Source organism: Homo sapiens, chromosome 17 (assembly GCF_000001405.40).
Source record: "Homo sapiens chromosome 17, GRCh38.p14 Primary Assembly".
NCBI classification, from domain to species: Eukaryota; Metazoa; Chordata; class Mammalia; order Primates; family Hominidae; genus Homo; species Homo sapiens.
Window position 1 is genome coordinate 8534770 of NC_000017.11, and position 15270 is coordinate 8550039.

The window sequence follows — 15270 nt, forward strand, 5'->3', positions numbered from 1 at the left end:
TCTAGGAGAAGATACTGGTTCCTAAAATGCATAGAGACACAGAGACATTTTGATTTTCTGATACTAGTAAAATCTTCTAGTCTACAATAAAAATCACCAAAATTCTTCAACTGAGGTTCATATAACAAAAGAACTATGAGGACTGATGGAAAGAAGAGCAATTGATCTGTATGCAGGCAATTTGAGTTTATCCACCAGCCACTGGGTGTCGCGGCGGGTGCGGGTGGTGAGGAAGGACGGAGCTCAGCAGGCCTGACACAGGGAAAATGGAATGAGCAGGCCTTCTCGGGTTTTGTGTTCCAGTGTTCCTGGATTACAACTGACTTGGGACTGTGGTGGCCTAAGTCATACGTGTACGTCTTTGTGGCTCCGGGCCTAGAATGTTTCTGTACTCCTACAACATCTGACCAAGAAGGTAGCTGTCTCTGTATTCATTTCTTAACCCAAGTATTGTTAAAACGGATAAATTCCGATATAACGGCAGCCCTGCTCTAGGGAAAGAAAGATTTTAAAGTAAGAAGTTATATGTATCCATATATATGTAAAAGAACCATCTATAAACCTTAATTATAAAAGATTCCAGCCAAGCATGATTACAAAGATAAGCACTTTCTTACCATCTTTCCAAAGCTCTGCCACAAATCTGTCTGATGACTGGTGCAAAAGGGTGGCCACGTTGTCATTCAGGGGGTCCATATTCTTCATCAGCCACTCATCTGCCTTATAGTCCACCTATCCCGCACCAAAGCCAAAAGTGGTGAAATGGAGAACACAAAACCAAATGCAAAAACAAAAACACTTTAAGCCTCAACCAGAAACTTTTATACAACAGTCCCCAAAATGGGCTGTCTGAAAGACAATATGTTTGTAATATATACTGTATTTGTTTATAAATGTTTATCAGCACCTTTGTTACACCTTCATAAAAATGTAGCAAAATTTCAAACACAGCCATTTTAATCCAGTTATTCAACATAAGAGCTCTTACCTTCCCTGCATAATGTATAATGCAAAAATCAGCTTTGTCTTTTAATTGTCGAGGTTTCTGAAACTTGGAGTGGGAACCTTGCTCTTGAACCAGTTTTTCAACAAAGGTTTTATCTGTGGCTTTAGGGAACCAGCATTCTTCATCCAAAAGGGCCAGTACACCAGGAGGGTTCGCCTGATAATGACAGGCAATAAGAATTCACAAGTTTTGCATGCCACTTTAATACTACTGAGTCTGGCACTTAAACTTCTAAAACAATTAGTTTTATGAAGATCCATGGAAAACAAATTGCTAGGATGGAAAGGAATGTCTAAGCCATAACAAGTTTATAATTCAAACACTGACATCTCAAACTGCTAAATAAGTACTAACAAGAAAACAGAGGAGTAACTTATCTCAAACTTACAAATACTGTATGTAAATTGCAAGTAAATGAATTCCAAGCAGATGGCCCCACAAAAGTGGCAAATAAAAGAAGCCAGAAACGCAGTGGGAAGTGGAGAGATGAAACTGAATGTTCATGTTCAGTGACTGGCTGGAGAAATCATTATAACACCTCAACTAATGAGAATGCTTCAAACATTTTATATCCTAATCAGTTTAAGTTTCTGTTTAAGTAATTTTAAATTAAATGTATCACTTTATATTTGGCGAAATATTTTAAACTATTATTAAGTAGAATATATGGAAATTGATAAACTAAGTCAGTCATCAATTGCCTTATATATTTGTTTTAACAGGCATTTGACAACCCATTTTATGTGATGCAATTATTACTTCATTGAAAAAAAGTAGCACTTTGGGAGGCCGAGGCAGGTGGATCACGAGGTCAGGGGTTTGAGACCAGCCTGGCCAAGATGGTGAAACCCCGCCTCTACTAAAAATACAAAAATTAGCTGGGTGTGGTGGCACATGCCTGTAGTCCCAGCTACTCAGGAGGCTGAGGCAGGAGAATCGGTTGAACCTGGGAGGCAGAGGTTGCAGTGAGCCGAGATGGTGCCATTGCACTCCAGCCTGGGTAACAGAGCAAGACTCTGTCTCAAAAAAAAAAAAAAAGCGCTAGATGAATCCATAGAGACAGAGGGTAGATTAGTGGCAGCCGGGGATTGAAGGAACAGAATGTGGAGTGACCACTAATGGGTATGAGGTTTCTTTCTGGGGTGATGAAAACGTGGCAGGATTTGGTAGTGGTAATGGTTCCACAACTTTGTGAATATACTACAAACATCACTGACTTGTAGTTTTAAAAGGGTGGATTTCATGGTTTGTGAATTATGTCTCAATTTTTAAAAAGGCCTAGAGCTCACCATTGTCTGGAGTGACTTCCTTTTTGGAGGTAAATGACACATGAAAGCTAAATAAGATATTTAAATAGTGATGGTCTATTTTCTAGTGCTTCTGGGCCATCATTTATTGTCACACTGCAAATATGGCAAGTGTGTGATACAAAACTGAACTCGTACCAGTTCTAGGGCACACTCATGAAATCAGCTGTTTGAGTAAGACTCTAAGATCAGTTCTCATCAACTCACAAAGCTTTCATATTTACTGGCAAAGAGTTGGCAATACACACAAATGCTGTTTTTAAAAGTAGCTAGAGGCTATGGTTAAATATAAATGAAACAGTGTAATAAAGTGGTCAGAGAAAGGGATGGGTGATCTGAATGCCAGCGGGTGGAAGCTGAGGGAACCCTTCTGCAATGGAGACCCTTACCCCAGGGCTCCTCCACCTGAAAGAATTGTCAGGGTTTCAGATCAGCTAAAAAGAAGACAGTAATCTGAAGCAACTGGGATTAGGTCACTTTAGAGGAGCTCAGAGTGGCAGGTAACTCAATCCACCCTAATCACACAACAACTGTGAGAAAGGAAGTTCCACATTAATATTAATATAACAAAAACATCCTCCTTTTACCCTTTTACATTCTTAACCACTTTTAATGAGAATTTTCCTAAATTCTGACACAGTATCTCAAATAAAAATTTGTATTTTTTTCTAAATGACTTGGTGACAGCATGATCATGAATATCATTACTGTGTCTCCTTTTCATTTTTTCCACTTCATCCTTCAATGTCAAGATCTCTATTATCATTCCTTCTCTGAACCGGGTATTTCCAAGAGCTGTAAGCTTAGAAGCCTGTGTTTCTGAATATTGGTCATAGGTTTTGTGAAAGCTTGTGAACTCAGAGGCTTGCCTGCCACCAGCCCACAGTCTGGCAAGGCAGGGGCTGGGATTATGCGAGATGAGCTAAGCCTGGCACGGGCCTGTCAGGTGCCACCACAGAGGATGTTTTTACAGCATTTTCCTTCTAGAAAGTATTGTTTTCACTCTCCATTTTGCAAGGAACATCAATGGGATCATTATCCCATGTCATTCCACAGGCTGTCGTTAAATTCCCCATCATCATAAACTCTCATGGGGTTTACAAAATGTTATGTTTTTATTTTTTATTATTATTATTTTTTGAGACGGAGTCTCGCTCTTGTCCCCCAGGCTGGAGTGTGGTCACGCGATCTTGGCTCGCTGCAACCTCCACCTCCCGGCTTCAAGCGATCCTCCTGCTTCAGCCTCCCGAGTAGCTGGGATTACAGACAACCGCCACGACGCCTGGCTAATTTCTTTTTGTATTTTTAGTAGAGATGGAGTTTCACCATGTTGGTCAGGCTGGTCTCGAACTCCTGACCTCAAGTGATCTGCCCGCCTTGGCCTCCCAAAGTGTTGGGATTACAGGCGTGAGCCACTGTGCCTGGCCATGTTTTTATTTTTTAATCAGATATTTCTATGAATAAGTAGAATAATCCTCAAATTGAGGTAAAGAGTGAGTCAGCATTAAATCTTGAATTCCTTCCCTCCCCTTTCTGAGCTATCTCTCCTATAAATTAGGACTATTTAGGCAGGGAATAAAGGGTCCACTCTAAAGGCTGAAGGAAGAGCCTAGAAGTGCCAGTACAAAGAGGATAGGAAGGAAAGAAGGAACGAGTTACCTAGTTCTACTCATTGCCCGTCAGTGTCTGGGCATAACTGGTGACTAGGAACATCATGACTTCCCAGCTCCAATACTTTCTGAATGCCCTGGCTGCTGTGGTTTCAATGTGTTCCCTGAAAGTTCACATGTTGGAAACCTGGTTCCTAATGCAGCCGTGTTGAGAGATAAGACCTTTGGGAGGTAACTGGGTCATGGGGCTCTTTCCTAGTAAATGGATTAATTCATTCATGGATCAATGGGTTGTTGAGGAGGTGGGTTAGTTATCATGAGAGCGGGTCTGTCATAAAAAAGCCAGTTTGGCCATTTCTTATGAGCCCCCCCAACATGTGATGCCCTGTGCCACCTTAGGACTCTGCCAAGAGTCCCCACCAGCAAGAATACCCTCATCCAATGCAGCTCCTAGACCTGGGACTTCCCAGCCTATAGACTACAAGAAATCAATTTCTTTTCTTTATAAATTACTCCATCTTACTTATTCTGTTATAGTAACGGAAAACAGACTAGGACACTCGCCAAATAACTTCCCTAAAATACCACTTTCAACGTGCTGTTCACCTGCTGATTTCTGACCATAAAACTCATCCCTGGAATGCTCCCTGCACAGCATCCACGCCTGTAATACCTTCCACAACACTGCCAGCCTACTTTGTGGCCTTTGCCTTTTTCCGAATTCACAGAGCATCAGTTAGAGTCATACCCAGGAACCAATGAGCTCACCACTATGTTGTGTTCTGTTTTCTGGCTTCAAGATCAGGTTCTTGAGGACCAAGGCCATGCTATATACTATCTCATATCCCCATGGCACCCCCAATCTGCATTTCCAGGCCATAATTGAGGATTTAATAAATTCTTTTCTTTTTTTTTGAGATGGGGTCTCACTCTGTCACTCAGGCTGGAAGGCAGTGGTGTGACCGTATCACTGTAGCCTCCAACTCAGGGCCTCAAAGGATCCTCCCGCCTCAGCCTCCTGAGTAGCTGGTACTACAGGCACATGACACCATACCTGGCTAATTTTAAAACTTTCTTGTAGAGATGTAGTCTTACTATGTTGCCCAGGCTGGTCTCGAACTCCTGGTCTTAAGTGATCCTCTTGCCTCAGCTTTCCAAAGCACTGGGATTACAGGCATAAGCCACCACACCTGGTCCAATAAATTGCTATCTGGATCTTATTCTACCACCACAATATTTACACATAAGGCCTGGAAAATAATTAAAAATGTAAACATCAAACCCTTTCTACTTCACTTATTTATTTTTTTGTTTGGAAACAGGGTCTCACGCTGTCGCCTAGACTGGAGTGCAGTGGTGCAATCTCGGCTCACTGCAACCTCTGCCTCCTGGGTTTAAGTGATTCTCATGTCTCAGCCTCCTGAGTAGCCGAGACTACAGGCACATGCCACCACATCCGGCTAATTTTCTGTATTTTTAGTAGAGATGGGGTTTCACCATGTTGGCCAGATTGGTCTCGACCTCCTGACCTGACTCAAGTGATCTGCCTGCCTCAGCCTCCCAAAGTACTGGGATTATAGGCGGGAGCCACAGCACCTGGCCTTCTACCTCACCTATTTTTGCTTGGAGTTGGTTATTAGGGTTGAAATGTTTAATTACTTTACCCCATGATTTTCACCTTTAGAGTACAATTATTGTGTGAGAGTAAAAAAAAAATATGCAAAAATGGTATATAAAGTATTTTGTCCTAGAGGATAAAGCAAAAGAAATGCAATTAAGTAACATTAAGAAGAATTAATATTTGTGAGACTCATTTAAAGGTCACAAAACCATTAGATTTAAAAACACTCTAAAAACATTTAAAAAATTAAGACAGGTAATTTTCCATTTGGAAGACTTTCGGCACAATTATTCCTATAAAGATACTGACCTAGCAAATTTTATGGGTTCTCGTCCATCCTAAAATAAAACTGCAGGTACATAATCATTATATTCTTAAAATGTAGGACTTCCAGTGTCATATGGACGCATATAATGAGCATCTCAAAAAACATATCATATAGTCATCAATAGTACTAATGTGAAATACTCCCTTCCCTTATTTACATAAATGCCCAAACAATTCTTTAGGCAACAAAGCAGTGATGAAATGTAATGAAGTGTGTTCATGTGCTTGTGTATGCACAAGTTACCTGGAAGTCACTACAAGCATGCCACCTCTAAATGACCCTATAAGCTACAAAGAAGCAACTATCCTCACAACTATAAGTAATTTAAGATTTTTGCTCTAAACGTGACTTGAAAGGTAAAATGATTTCTTATGTATTATAAAAGCCAAATGAAAATTTTCTATTGCTTTCCTTAAACTCAAATTTCTAATGTGCTGGAACTACATCTCTAATAGGGGTGAATGTCTTCTAGGTTCTTCCTCTTCCCGATGTGCCACTGCTCCTCCTGACTGCAGGTACTGTACCATCCATGATCTCTAGCCATTAGACCTCCAACACCTTCAAACATGAAGAACACAAGTGGCAACCAGAGATTGAGCAGCAAGAACCAGAACTGCTTCAAAGCCTGCTGCACCTCCTAGGAGAAAACTCTGCGTTATTCAAACATACCTACTTAACTAGTGTTAGAGCTTCCTCTACGTTACAGATATCGGTGGTTAATCATGTTTTAGTTTTTCTTATATTTTGGCAGATAGCAAAATAAAATAAATGAAGCTGACACCTTGTTGAGCAAAAGCTAACTGATAAGGAGTACAGAACCAGATTGTCAACACTTGCTTGAGATCACATGGAGCTGAGTTCCAAAAGTGAATGAGTTATACACTCGAAGCTTGAACGTGAATGAGTTCTATGTATTTTTACAGAACATTAAACCACCAAGAAAAGAGTTTCTGATGCTTTCTAAGATTGCCACTAAAAATACATCTGACAAGACTTCCCTGAGAACAAAAACTTCAAATTAAAAAAAAAAATCTGGCAAAATAAAAACATCTTTGTACTTTAAAAGGCCAAACTTTAGTTATCTGCAAAATGGATTTACGTGACACGTCTTGTTCTCAGCTAAATAAAGTGTCAGGTGGAGCTCCACATCCTTTGAAAGGTACACACAAATGCCAGCGCACAGGGCCATCTGCAGTCTGTGCGAGCCAGAGCCCACTATCCAGTATTCCCATGCAAGCAAGGACAGGAATCAAGCTGCGAGGAGAGCTAAAGAAGGGTTTTACTGGCATGCTACTGACTTTTAAATTCTGTAGCTATTTTATCAGAGTATCACCTTCCTAGAAAATTTAGATCAGAAAATTATTTCACCACTGAACAGACTGGGTAATTTCTGTCTTGGGTTATGCCACTTAAGGTCACTGCTTGAGTGGAAAATGAAAGACAGCGAGCAAGTGAGCACTCTTACAGGTCTCTCTATTAGGTCGATGCATGGCTGCAGATCCAGCCCGAAATCGATGAAGTTCCACTCGATGCCTTCGCGCTGGTATTCCTCTTGTTCTAGGATAAACATGGTGTGGTTGAACAGCTGCTGCAGCTTCTCATTGGTGTAGTTGATGCAAAGTTGTTCAAAGGAGTTCAGCTACAAATGTCAAAGGGTAATTTTCCAAACATGGGGAGGTGGAGGGAAAATGGGAATAATTAGTTATGTAGTTATAAAAAAATTTTTCATTAAACATTACTAATTAGGTAGGAAGTACATGATTGCTTCTATCTAATGACAGTGACTAAACCAAGGGGGGTGGTCTCCCAATCCCTCTCTCACACACAGCCTTTTTGAAAAGGTAAAGAGAAAGAACATACTGTCTATGGCTGCATTACTGAACTGCTAAAATGAAAAGATAATAAACTTAATATGCTAACTGAATGCTCTGCAAGTAAAACAATTCAGTTCTTATTAGTGAATGGTTAAGGACTATAAATAAATAAATGAGACAGTAAGAAAAAGAAGAAAAACAAAGGCTTGGAAAAACCAGAGGCAAAGGAAGGCGAACAAGGTGGTGGGCGCGCTTCTGAAGCTGGGGTGGAGAATGCATTTGGTTCTGTCCCACTCCACTGTCACTCAGGCTGTGGGCTCTAAGGTGAGGTAGGAAAAGAGTCATCTTTACTGCATGGAATTGCTGAGAGCTCAGCCAGGCCTGGCACATGGAATGCGCTTAGTATGAGACTCTCTATCGTTTCTCTAAGCATTCCCTTCCCTTATCAAATGTTTGACCTTTGCAATACCAAAAGTGATATTGGACTGCCCTCATAAAGTGAATTTAGGCATTTTTCATATGTTATTGTCATTTCTGTTCCTTCTCTGTGAACTCTGCCCATTTTTTAAGAGAAAAATTGATTGGGCGAATGCATAGATGGGTGAATTAATAGGTATAATTTTCTTAATCATCCTATACACTAGAAGTGCTCAACCTCTTTCCTGCTTCTATACTGTTCACACAGCTGCATGTGCCCATAAATAACCTCTTTCATTATAAAAAGTGATTTTCAATTAAAGAGGATTTAACCCATCTCCAAGGAGTTGATTTACAGTCTGAAAAAGCCACTCCAATCTTTTCCATTCTCCAGAAGCTGTTAAATTCACTATTTCAGAATGAGGTCATGCAAGGAGGGCAGGGGCAGTGCTTGCCTTGCTCAACACTGTATTTCTGGCACGCATGACAAGCCTCATATTTACAGACTGCCGGATTCTGCTTATTCATGTTCATGTAGGTGAACTTTGCTTTGCCTCAGGATGATGACATCCTATTGCTCTATTTAGCCTGGGCCATTACAAAGAAGGTTTTTTTTTTTTTTTTAGGAGTCTCGTTCTCTTGCCCAGGCTGGAGTACAGTGGCACAATCTTGGCTCACTGCAACCTCCGCCTCCCGGGTTCAAGCAATTCTCTGCCTCAGCCTTCGGAGTAGCTGAGATTACAGGCATCTGCCACCAAGCCCAGCTAATTTTTGTATTTTTAGTAGAGACAGGGTTTCACCATCTTGGACAGGCTGGTCTTGAACTCCTGACCTCGTGATCCACCTGCCTCGGCCTCCCAAAGTGCTGGGATTACAGGCGTGAGCCACCACGCCCGGCCAAGAATGGTATTTTTAAAAATGAATTTCTACTTGTCTTCCATATTTAAACTACCAATTATAATTTTAATTGATTTTTAAATCAATAATGCATGGTAGAAAATTCAAAGTGTACAAAGAATTGCACCAGTTTCACTTCAATGAAACTTACTTGTTCTCCCTATTATCAACCAGTATCTCCTATTTTTGTGATCTTTCCAGAAATATGCTATGCATTAAGAAATGTGTGTATGTGTGTGACCCTGATTTTTTTTAACTTAACAATGTATCTTGTTATGTTGTGGGATCTTTCCTTAGTGTATAAAGCCAGCCCATTCTTTATAATGGATGCATAGTATTCCACTGTATGGAGCTATCACAATAATTTGAACCAGTTTCCTAAAGGTGGGCATTTAGGCTTTTTCTTTCCTTTTCTCATGACAAATAACACTCACTGAACAACTTAGCATTTTTACCATCTACATAAATGTCACATTTTCCCATCGAGAACAGGGTGTGTCTCCTCACTTGTTCAAGTCTTCTTTTCTTTTTTGCAGCAGCACTGTAAAGTTGCCTTCATTTAAATCTTGCCCATTTCTTTTAAAATTTATTTTTAGGTGTTTTGTCTGTTTGTTGCAGTTGGAAATGTGGGTCTTTTCTTTCACTATATCTTCTGATCGTTTATGTAGAGGAAAGTGACAGATTTTTTTAATGCAATTTGTACCCAGCCACTTTTCATGATTTCTTAATATATTTACAAATCAAAACACCTTAAAGCAATCTCTTAGAGTGGCAGTGGCAGGTTCAGTATTTATGAGGATAGACTTATAATTTTAAAGGGGTTCATTTTAAAATAAGACAATTCAATACCCAATAGTGGCTACAGTAACACACAGATGATCACAAAAAGCACTTAATATTTGTGCCGTACTATATTTACATAGTTTACATCTATATTTATGGAAATAAAGATATAAATTTTTAGATGCCCCAAATTTTATGCACCTCCCTGAAACACCGTAGCAGGTGTGTGACTGTGAAACTTTTCTGCATTGATGATGAGTAAGTATTTGGATAAATCTAGTCAGATCAACAGTGAAATCTATTGTTAAACCCTGGTTATATCTGCAGTACACAGATCACTGCCCGTCCAGGTGCCTCCCTCTCACTTTGCTCCTCTCCTGATTCCCCAGCCAAGCCCCCGTCATCTTGCCCGTGTTCTACTACAGTGGCCCCCTTGATGGTCTCTCGACCTGGCCCCATGCTCTTCTCCACGTCTCCAACTCCTCTCTCCCTCTGGTCAGCTATATCCAGTCATACTGGCTTTCTAGCAGCTTAGAACATTTGTTAAGTTCTGTCCCATACAGGACCACTGGAATTACTCTCATTATGCCGGGAAACTGACCGAGGCTGGCAGCTTCTCATCCTTCAAGTAAGCCTAACTGTTGCCAATGCAGAAGCAACCTTCCCTGAACAGCTATCTCAAGCTGGCCTCCCAGTTCTATCACAGCACCCTTTCAGTGCATTCTCACAGACCTGCGGATTCACTGATTATTTGCCATTTATTGTTTGGCTCTACTAGAATGGCAGGGACTGTATCCCTGGTGCCTCGTATGTACTGGGCACACAGTAAGCCTTCATATTTGTTAAAAGAACAAACAAAAAGAAGGACGAGCTAGAGGAAGAGGGGGAAGAATACCTCAAAAATTTCAAATCCAGCAATATCCAGGATTCCAATGAAAGATGCTCCCTGACGTTTGGTCCTATCCAGAGCTTTATTGATGCGATGAACGAGCCAGCGAAAGAGCCGCTCATAGGTAGCTTTTGCCAATGCTTCTACTGCAAAATCTGCCTGTAATTAAATCACAACAACCTTTTATTCTGGAAACAATCTCAACAAAGCATAAATAGCTGTTTTACGGAATTTAATGTTATACAGCACTCAAAAAACCTGAGATGGCATTCACTGCTTAATCATGTCTCAATTTTACACATCAATAGAAGGCAATATTAGAAGAATTAAATGAACACAGGGAATAACGAATTTGGGGGATGGGTAAAGACGCCTAATAAAAATAAGCTCCTCCCCATGCGCCTGGGTCCTGGGTAGCACTGTCCGCCTGGATTCAGCTCAGTTAAGCTGGTACTTTCTCTCTGCTGTACCACCCAGCACAAGGACAAGGCGGCAGGGGCCCTTGTGTTGGTCTGGTTCCCGAAGTATGCAGATTTGTCTACTGGATTATCTATCTACCTGGGGAAAACTAGAGATTATAATTTGACATTTACTTTTTTTAAAAAATCACCTTTAAAAAAATTTTTTTTTTTTTTGATACGGAGTCTCGTTCTGTTGCCTGGGCTGGAGTGCCGTGGTGCAATCTCAGCTCACTACAACCTCCGCCTCCTGGGTTCAAGCAATTCTCCCGTCTCAGCCTCTTGAGTAGCTGGGACTACAGGCGCATGCCATCACGCCCGGCTAATTTTTGTATTTTTAGTAGAGATGGGGTTTCACCATACTGGTCAGGCTGGTCTCAAACTCCTGACCTCAGGTGATCTGCCCACCTCAGCCTCCCAAAGTGCTGGGATTACAGGTGTGAGCCACCGGCCCCGGCCCCTTTTAAATTTTTTCGAAAACGAAAAAGTAAATATACTTAAAAAAAAAAAACTCATTTAGTACCTAAAAACACCCATGTAAGACAGTTTATATTGATTCAGTTTGTTACATGTCAATCAGAAGGCCAAATGGCCATGGCTTATCATTCAAACAAATCAGTAATAACAATGAACATGAAACCTACCTGTTCTTTGGTCTGGGCTTTTTGCACATAGTCTCGGCCGACCTTGATCCGGGGAGTCAGGATGGCCCGAGTAAACTCCATCACATTCATCCCAAGAAGATGGCAGAGCTTCTGCGCAACTGAAGTGTAAAAAGTCTCCTAAATCCTACATTTTTTACTTACAATCTACTCACAATATATTCAATAAACACTGGAAAAACCTTAGTAACAATTAAATTGTATTAAGAAATAAATAAAAGTCTTAAAATCAGACAAGTTTTAGGTCTAATGAAAAATACCTTCCATCTTTTCAAATTAATACACACTCATTTTTAGGCTACAAGAGATGGCTAGTCAGCATTTGACTGCCTTGCCTATTTATTCATTTTTTTAGAGGCAGGTTCTCACTATGTTGGCCAGGATGGAGTGTAGTGGCTATTCACAGGCATGATCTCACTACTGATCAGCACGGGAGTTTTGACCTGCTCCATTTTCAACTTGGGCTGGTTCACTCCTCCCTAGGCAACCTAGTGGTCCCCTACTGCTGGGAGGCTACCATATACTGATGCTGAACATAGTGTAGACAACCGACGGGCATAGCACGACAGCCTAGAACTCCTGGGCTCAAGCCATCCTCCTGCTTCAGCCTCCCGAGTAGCTGGGACTACATGGCCACTATGCCCAGCCTCCTTACCTTTACAAGAGTGACCTGATCCTCCTCTATTTATGGGTCATTAAAAAATTTCAAAGCCAAGCTATACTAATATATGCCTTACTCTGCATTTTAGATGGCTCCATTTTAAGTCTATTTAACCATGGAAAAGCCATACGGAGGATGGAGGCCCAACCGCCAATCAAACTACTTTGACTGAATGACAGATGAATGGTCCTGGAAATCAACAGCCCTAATAGGAGGTGCCACAGCTTGGCCAGAAAATGGTGACCAAGAAGCAGCAGGAGAGGCAGGCCCCTTAGAAGAGCCACACAGAATTAAATTGTTATCAAGCCTCAAATTGGTTATAAAAAACGATTATTTCAAGGGCAGATAATGTGACTTTATGTCAGCCTTCACCCGCCACAGTGGACTGCGGATGCCTCCATGAGGCAAGATAACTAACTTGTTAGAATAATCAAGCAGTCAAGGCAATATAGAGATTCCTCACTTTTTCTCTCCAGACCATCTGAAGCAAACTGATATATATATAATATATATGTATATTATATATACATATATTTAATAAATATATACTTTATATCCATATTATATTTATATATTTATATTAAATATATATTTAATAATATATTATATATATATATTTGGGTCACAAACTTTTGTTCCTGACCAATGCAAATTTAAAACCATTTTCGACATTTAAAAATGGGAATATTTCCTATTAAGATCTAGATTTCCATTTTTCTTTGAAAAGTCACTTATATTTGGCAATACTGGGCCTGTAATCCTGGCAAGGTGCACACTGGCTGGAACTCGGCAGCTGCACCACCCTCTCAGGTAAGTGTGTGACCTCCTGCGGCTGAGTTCTCCTCCCTCAATTCCCAAGGCCTCCTGCATGCTAAGGCAGAGACCACTGCTCCTTTTCATCCTACACCCTGTCCCCTGTCCTCATTTATAGAATCAGAGGAACCCTCGTGTAAATACACGATGTTGTCACTCTACTCAAGGGTCCCTTCAGAAATGCTTCAGAGGTGCTTTTACGCTTGCACTGTAACACCTTCTTAGAGAGCACAACAAGCCATCGAAACAGAAATAAAGTCAGTATTCATCAGTTTACCTGTATTTTCTGGCATGGAAGCTTGATCAGTATTTCTCTCCTTTTTGAAAGAAATATTTCCAAACTGTAGCACTGAAGATACTACTTTAAGCATTGCTTCATATTGATAAAAAGAAAAAAAAAATTAATATTGCCTCAAAATGTAGCGGAGACATATTCTCATTTATTTTGTGCTAAAAATTAGCTATACAAAACTTTTCAGTAAGACATGTCTTTTCAGGATTTCATACAATTCATTAGTTTCCCAGTCATTTTCTAGTTTAGGTGATTTACCCCAGATGTATAAGTCTTAGGAAAGTGAGTACCAGAATCTTAGAGAAATCACACATACACAGAATCTCTTCATGGGAGAAGCCCATTATGTGCATTGCTTCCATGGTCTCCTGGAAATTATCTTTGTCTTGCTGTCCCGGAATAGGAATATAGCCATTGGAGAGAAACCTGTAGTTATTAAATCCTTCAAGAAGCAAATCAGCTAAAAGGAAATATAATGGAAGAAAATTTGATAAATACTCATGAAGACAACTAAGCCATAACTGCATTCAAACTGTGCCAGTGTCACAGGAGAGCAGTGGTCACCATGCAACCCATTGCCAGCAAAATGTTTTTTTTCTTTATATATTCATGTAAATACACAAACATACATTTTTTTAATTATCTGTACCAACAAAGGAAAATGATGATGTTAACAACGCAAAAACCTTAACAGGAGTTTTGGGGATGGCAGTTTGTACAATATTCTGTTTGAAATTGGTTATCTGCGAAATGATGTCAATTGTCCAGATGACAAAACTCTATTGTTTTCAGATTTAAATATTTTAGCCCTCTTTTTTGAAGGAAAGCTTTTAAACTCATATTCTATATTCCTATCTTAGCAAGTAGTTTGCAGCAAACACTATGAAGTGAATATGAAAACTACCATGGACATAAGCTAAAGATACAGTGATGTGGACCAAGCACGTCCCGAGCCCAGCAAAGGCCCTGAAACACTTTCTCCAAGCCAGCTTGCTTGGTGGTTAAGTTGCCTTTAGAATGATGATGTGATGTGGCGCAGCAGACTATTGTAACAGGTACCCGCACTGACTACTGTACCGTAGGAGACATGAATTAAAGAGAACTTACTCTTTTGACAAATGCATTCTTGAGAGCCAAAGAATATTTCTCAGGAGTGCTCAAAATAGCAGGGCTATTTATCGTTATAACAGATATGCAAATATGCTCCCAGCTTTCTTTGTGACTGGCTCTCTTGCTCTCCTGCAGAGAATTTCTGCAGGTCACCCTGTCCCGTTATTCTTGTCTACATCACATTTAACTTCTACAGGGTACTGCCTGCTGCTTTCTTTTTCTATTTCTTTCAACACTTTGATCATTTTAAAGAATTTACTCGCTCTCCCTCTCCCTCTCCCTCTCTTTCCACGGTCTCCCTCTCATGCTGAGCCGAGGCTGGACTGTGCTGCTGCCATCTCGGCTCGCTGCAGCCTCCCTGCCTGATTCTCCTGACTCAGCCTGCCCAGTGCCTGCGATTGAAAGCTCGCGCCGCCACGCCTGACTGGTTTTGGTGGAGACGGGGTTTCGCTGTGTTGGCCAGGCCGGTCTCCAGCCCCTAACCGCAAGTGATCCGCCAGCCTCGGCCTCCCGAGGTGCCGGGATTGCAGACGGAGTCTCGTTCACTCAGTGCTCAATGGTGCCCAGGCTGGAGTGCAGTGGCGTGATCTCGGCTCGCTACA

General features: G+C 40.9%; 1 protein-coding gene across 4 annotated transcripts in view, besides 1 other annotated feature; it reads right to left on the minus strand.

The window, feature by feature from the left end:
- MYH10 (myosin heavy chain 10) overlaps positions 1-15270 on the minus strand; it is a 156514-nt gene that overhangs the window by 60558 nt on the left and 80686 nt on the right. For all 4 annotated transcript variants that reach the window (NM_001375266.1, NM_005964.5, NM_001256095.2 and 1 more), the window contains 7 exons: positions 13875-14018; positions 13544-13639; positions 11775-11893; positions 10679-10831; positions 7338-7511; positions 989-1162; positions 618-732 (listed from right to left, as the gene is read on the minus strand). In NM_001375266.1, the coding sequence (NP_001362195.1) occupies positions 618-732; positions 989-1162; positions 7338-7511; positions 10679-10831; positions 11775-11893; positions 13544-13639; positions 13875-14018 (975 nt within the window). The remainder of the gene's footprint in view (positions 1-617; positions 733-988; positions 1163-7337; positions 7512-10678; positions 10832-11774; positions 11894-13543; positions 13640-13874; positions 14019-15270) is intronic.
- Positions 8442-8736: an enhancer, noted in NCBI's record as "tiled region #2377; HepG2 Activating DNase matched - State 5:Enh". NCBI's record gives its function as "activates a minimal TATA promoter and a strong SV40 promoter by Sharpr-MPRA in HepG2 cells {active_cell/tissue: HepG2}" and the evidence as "EXISTENCE:reporter gene assay evidence [ECO:0000049][PMID:27701403]".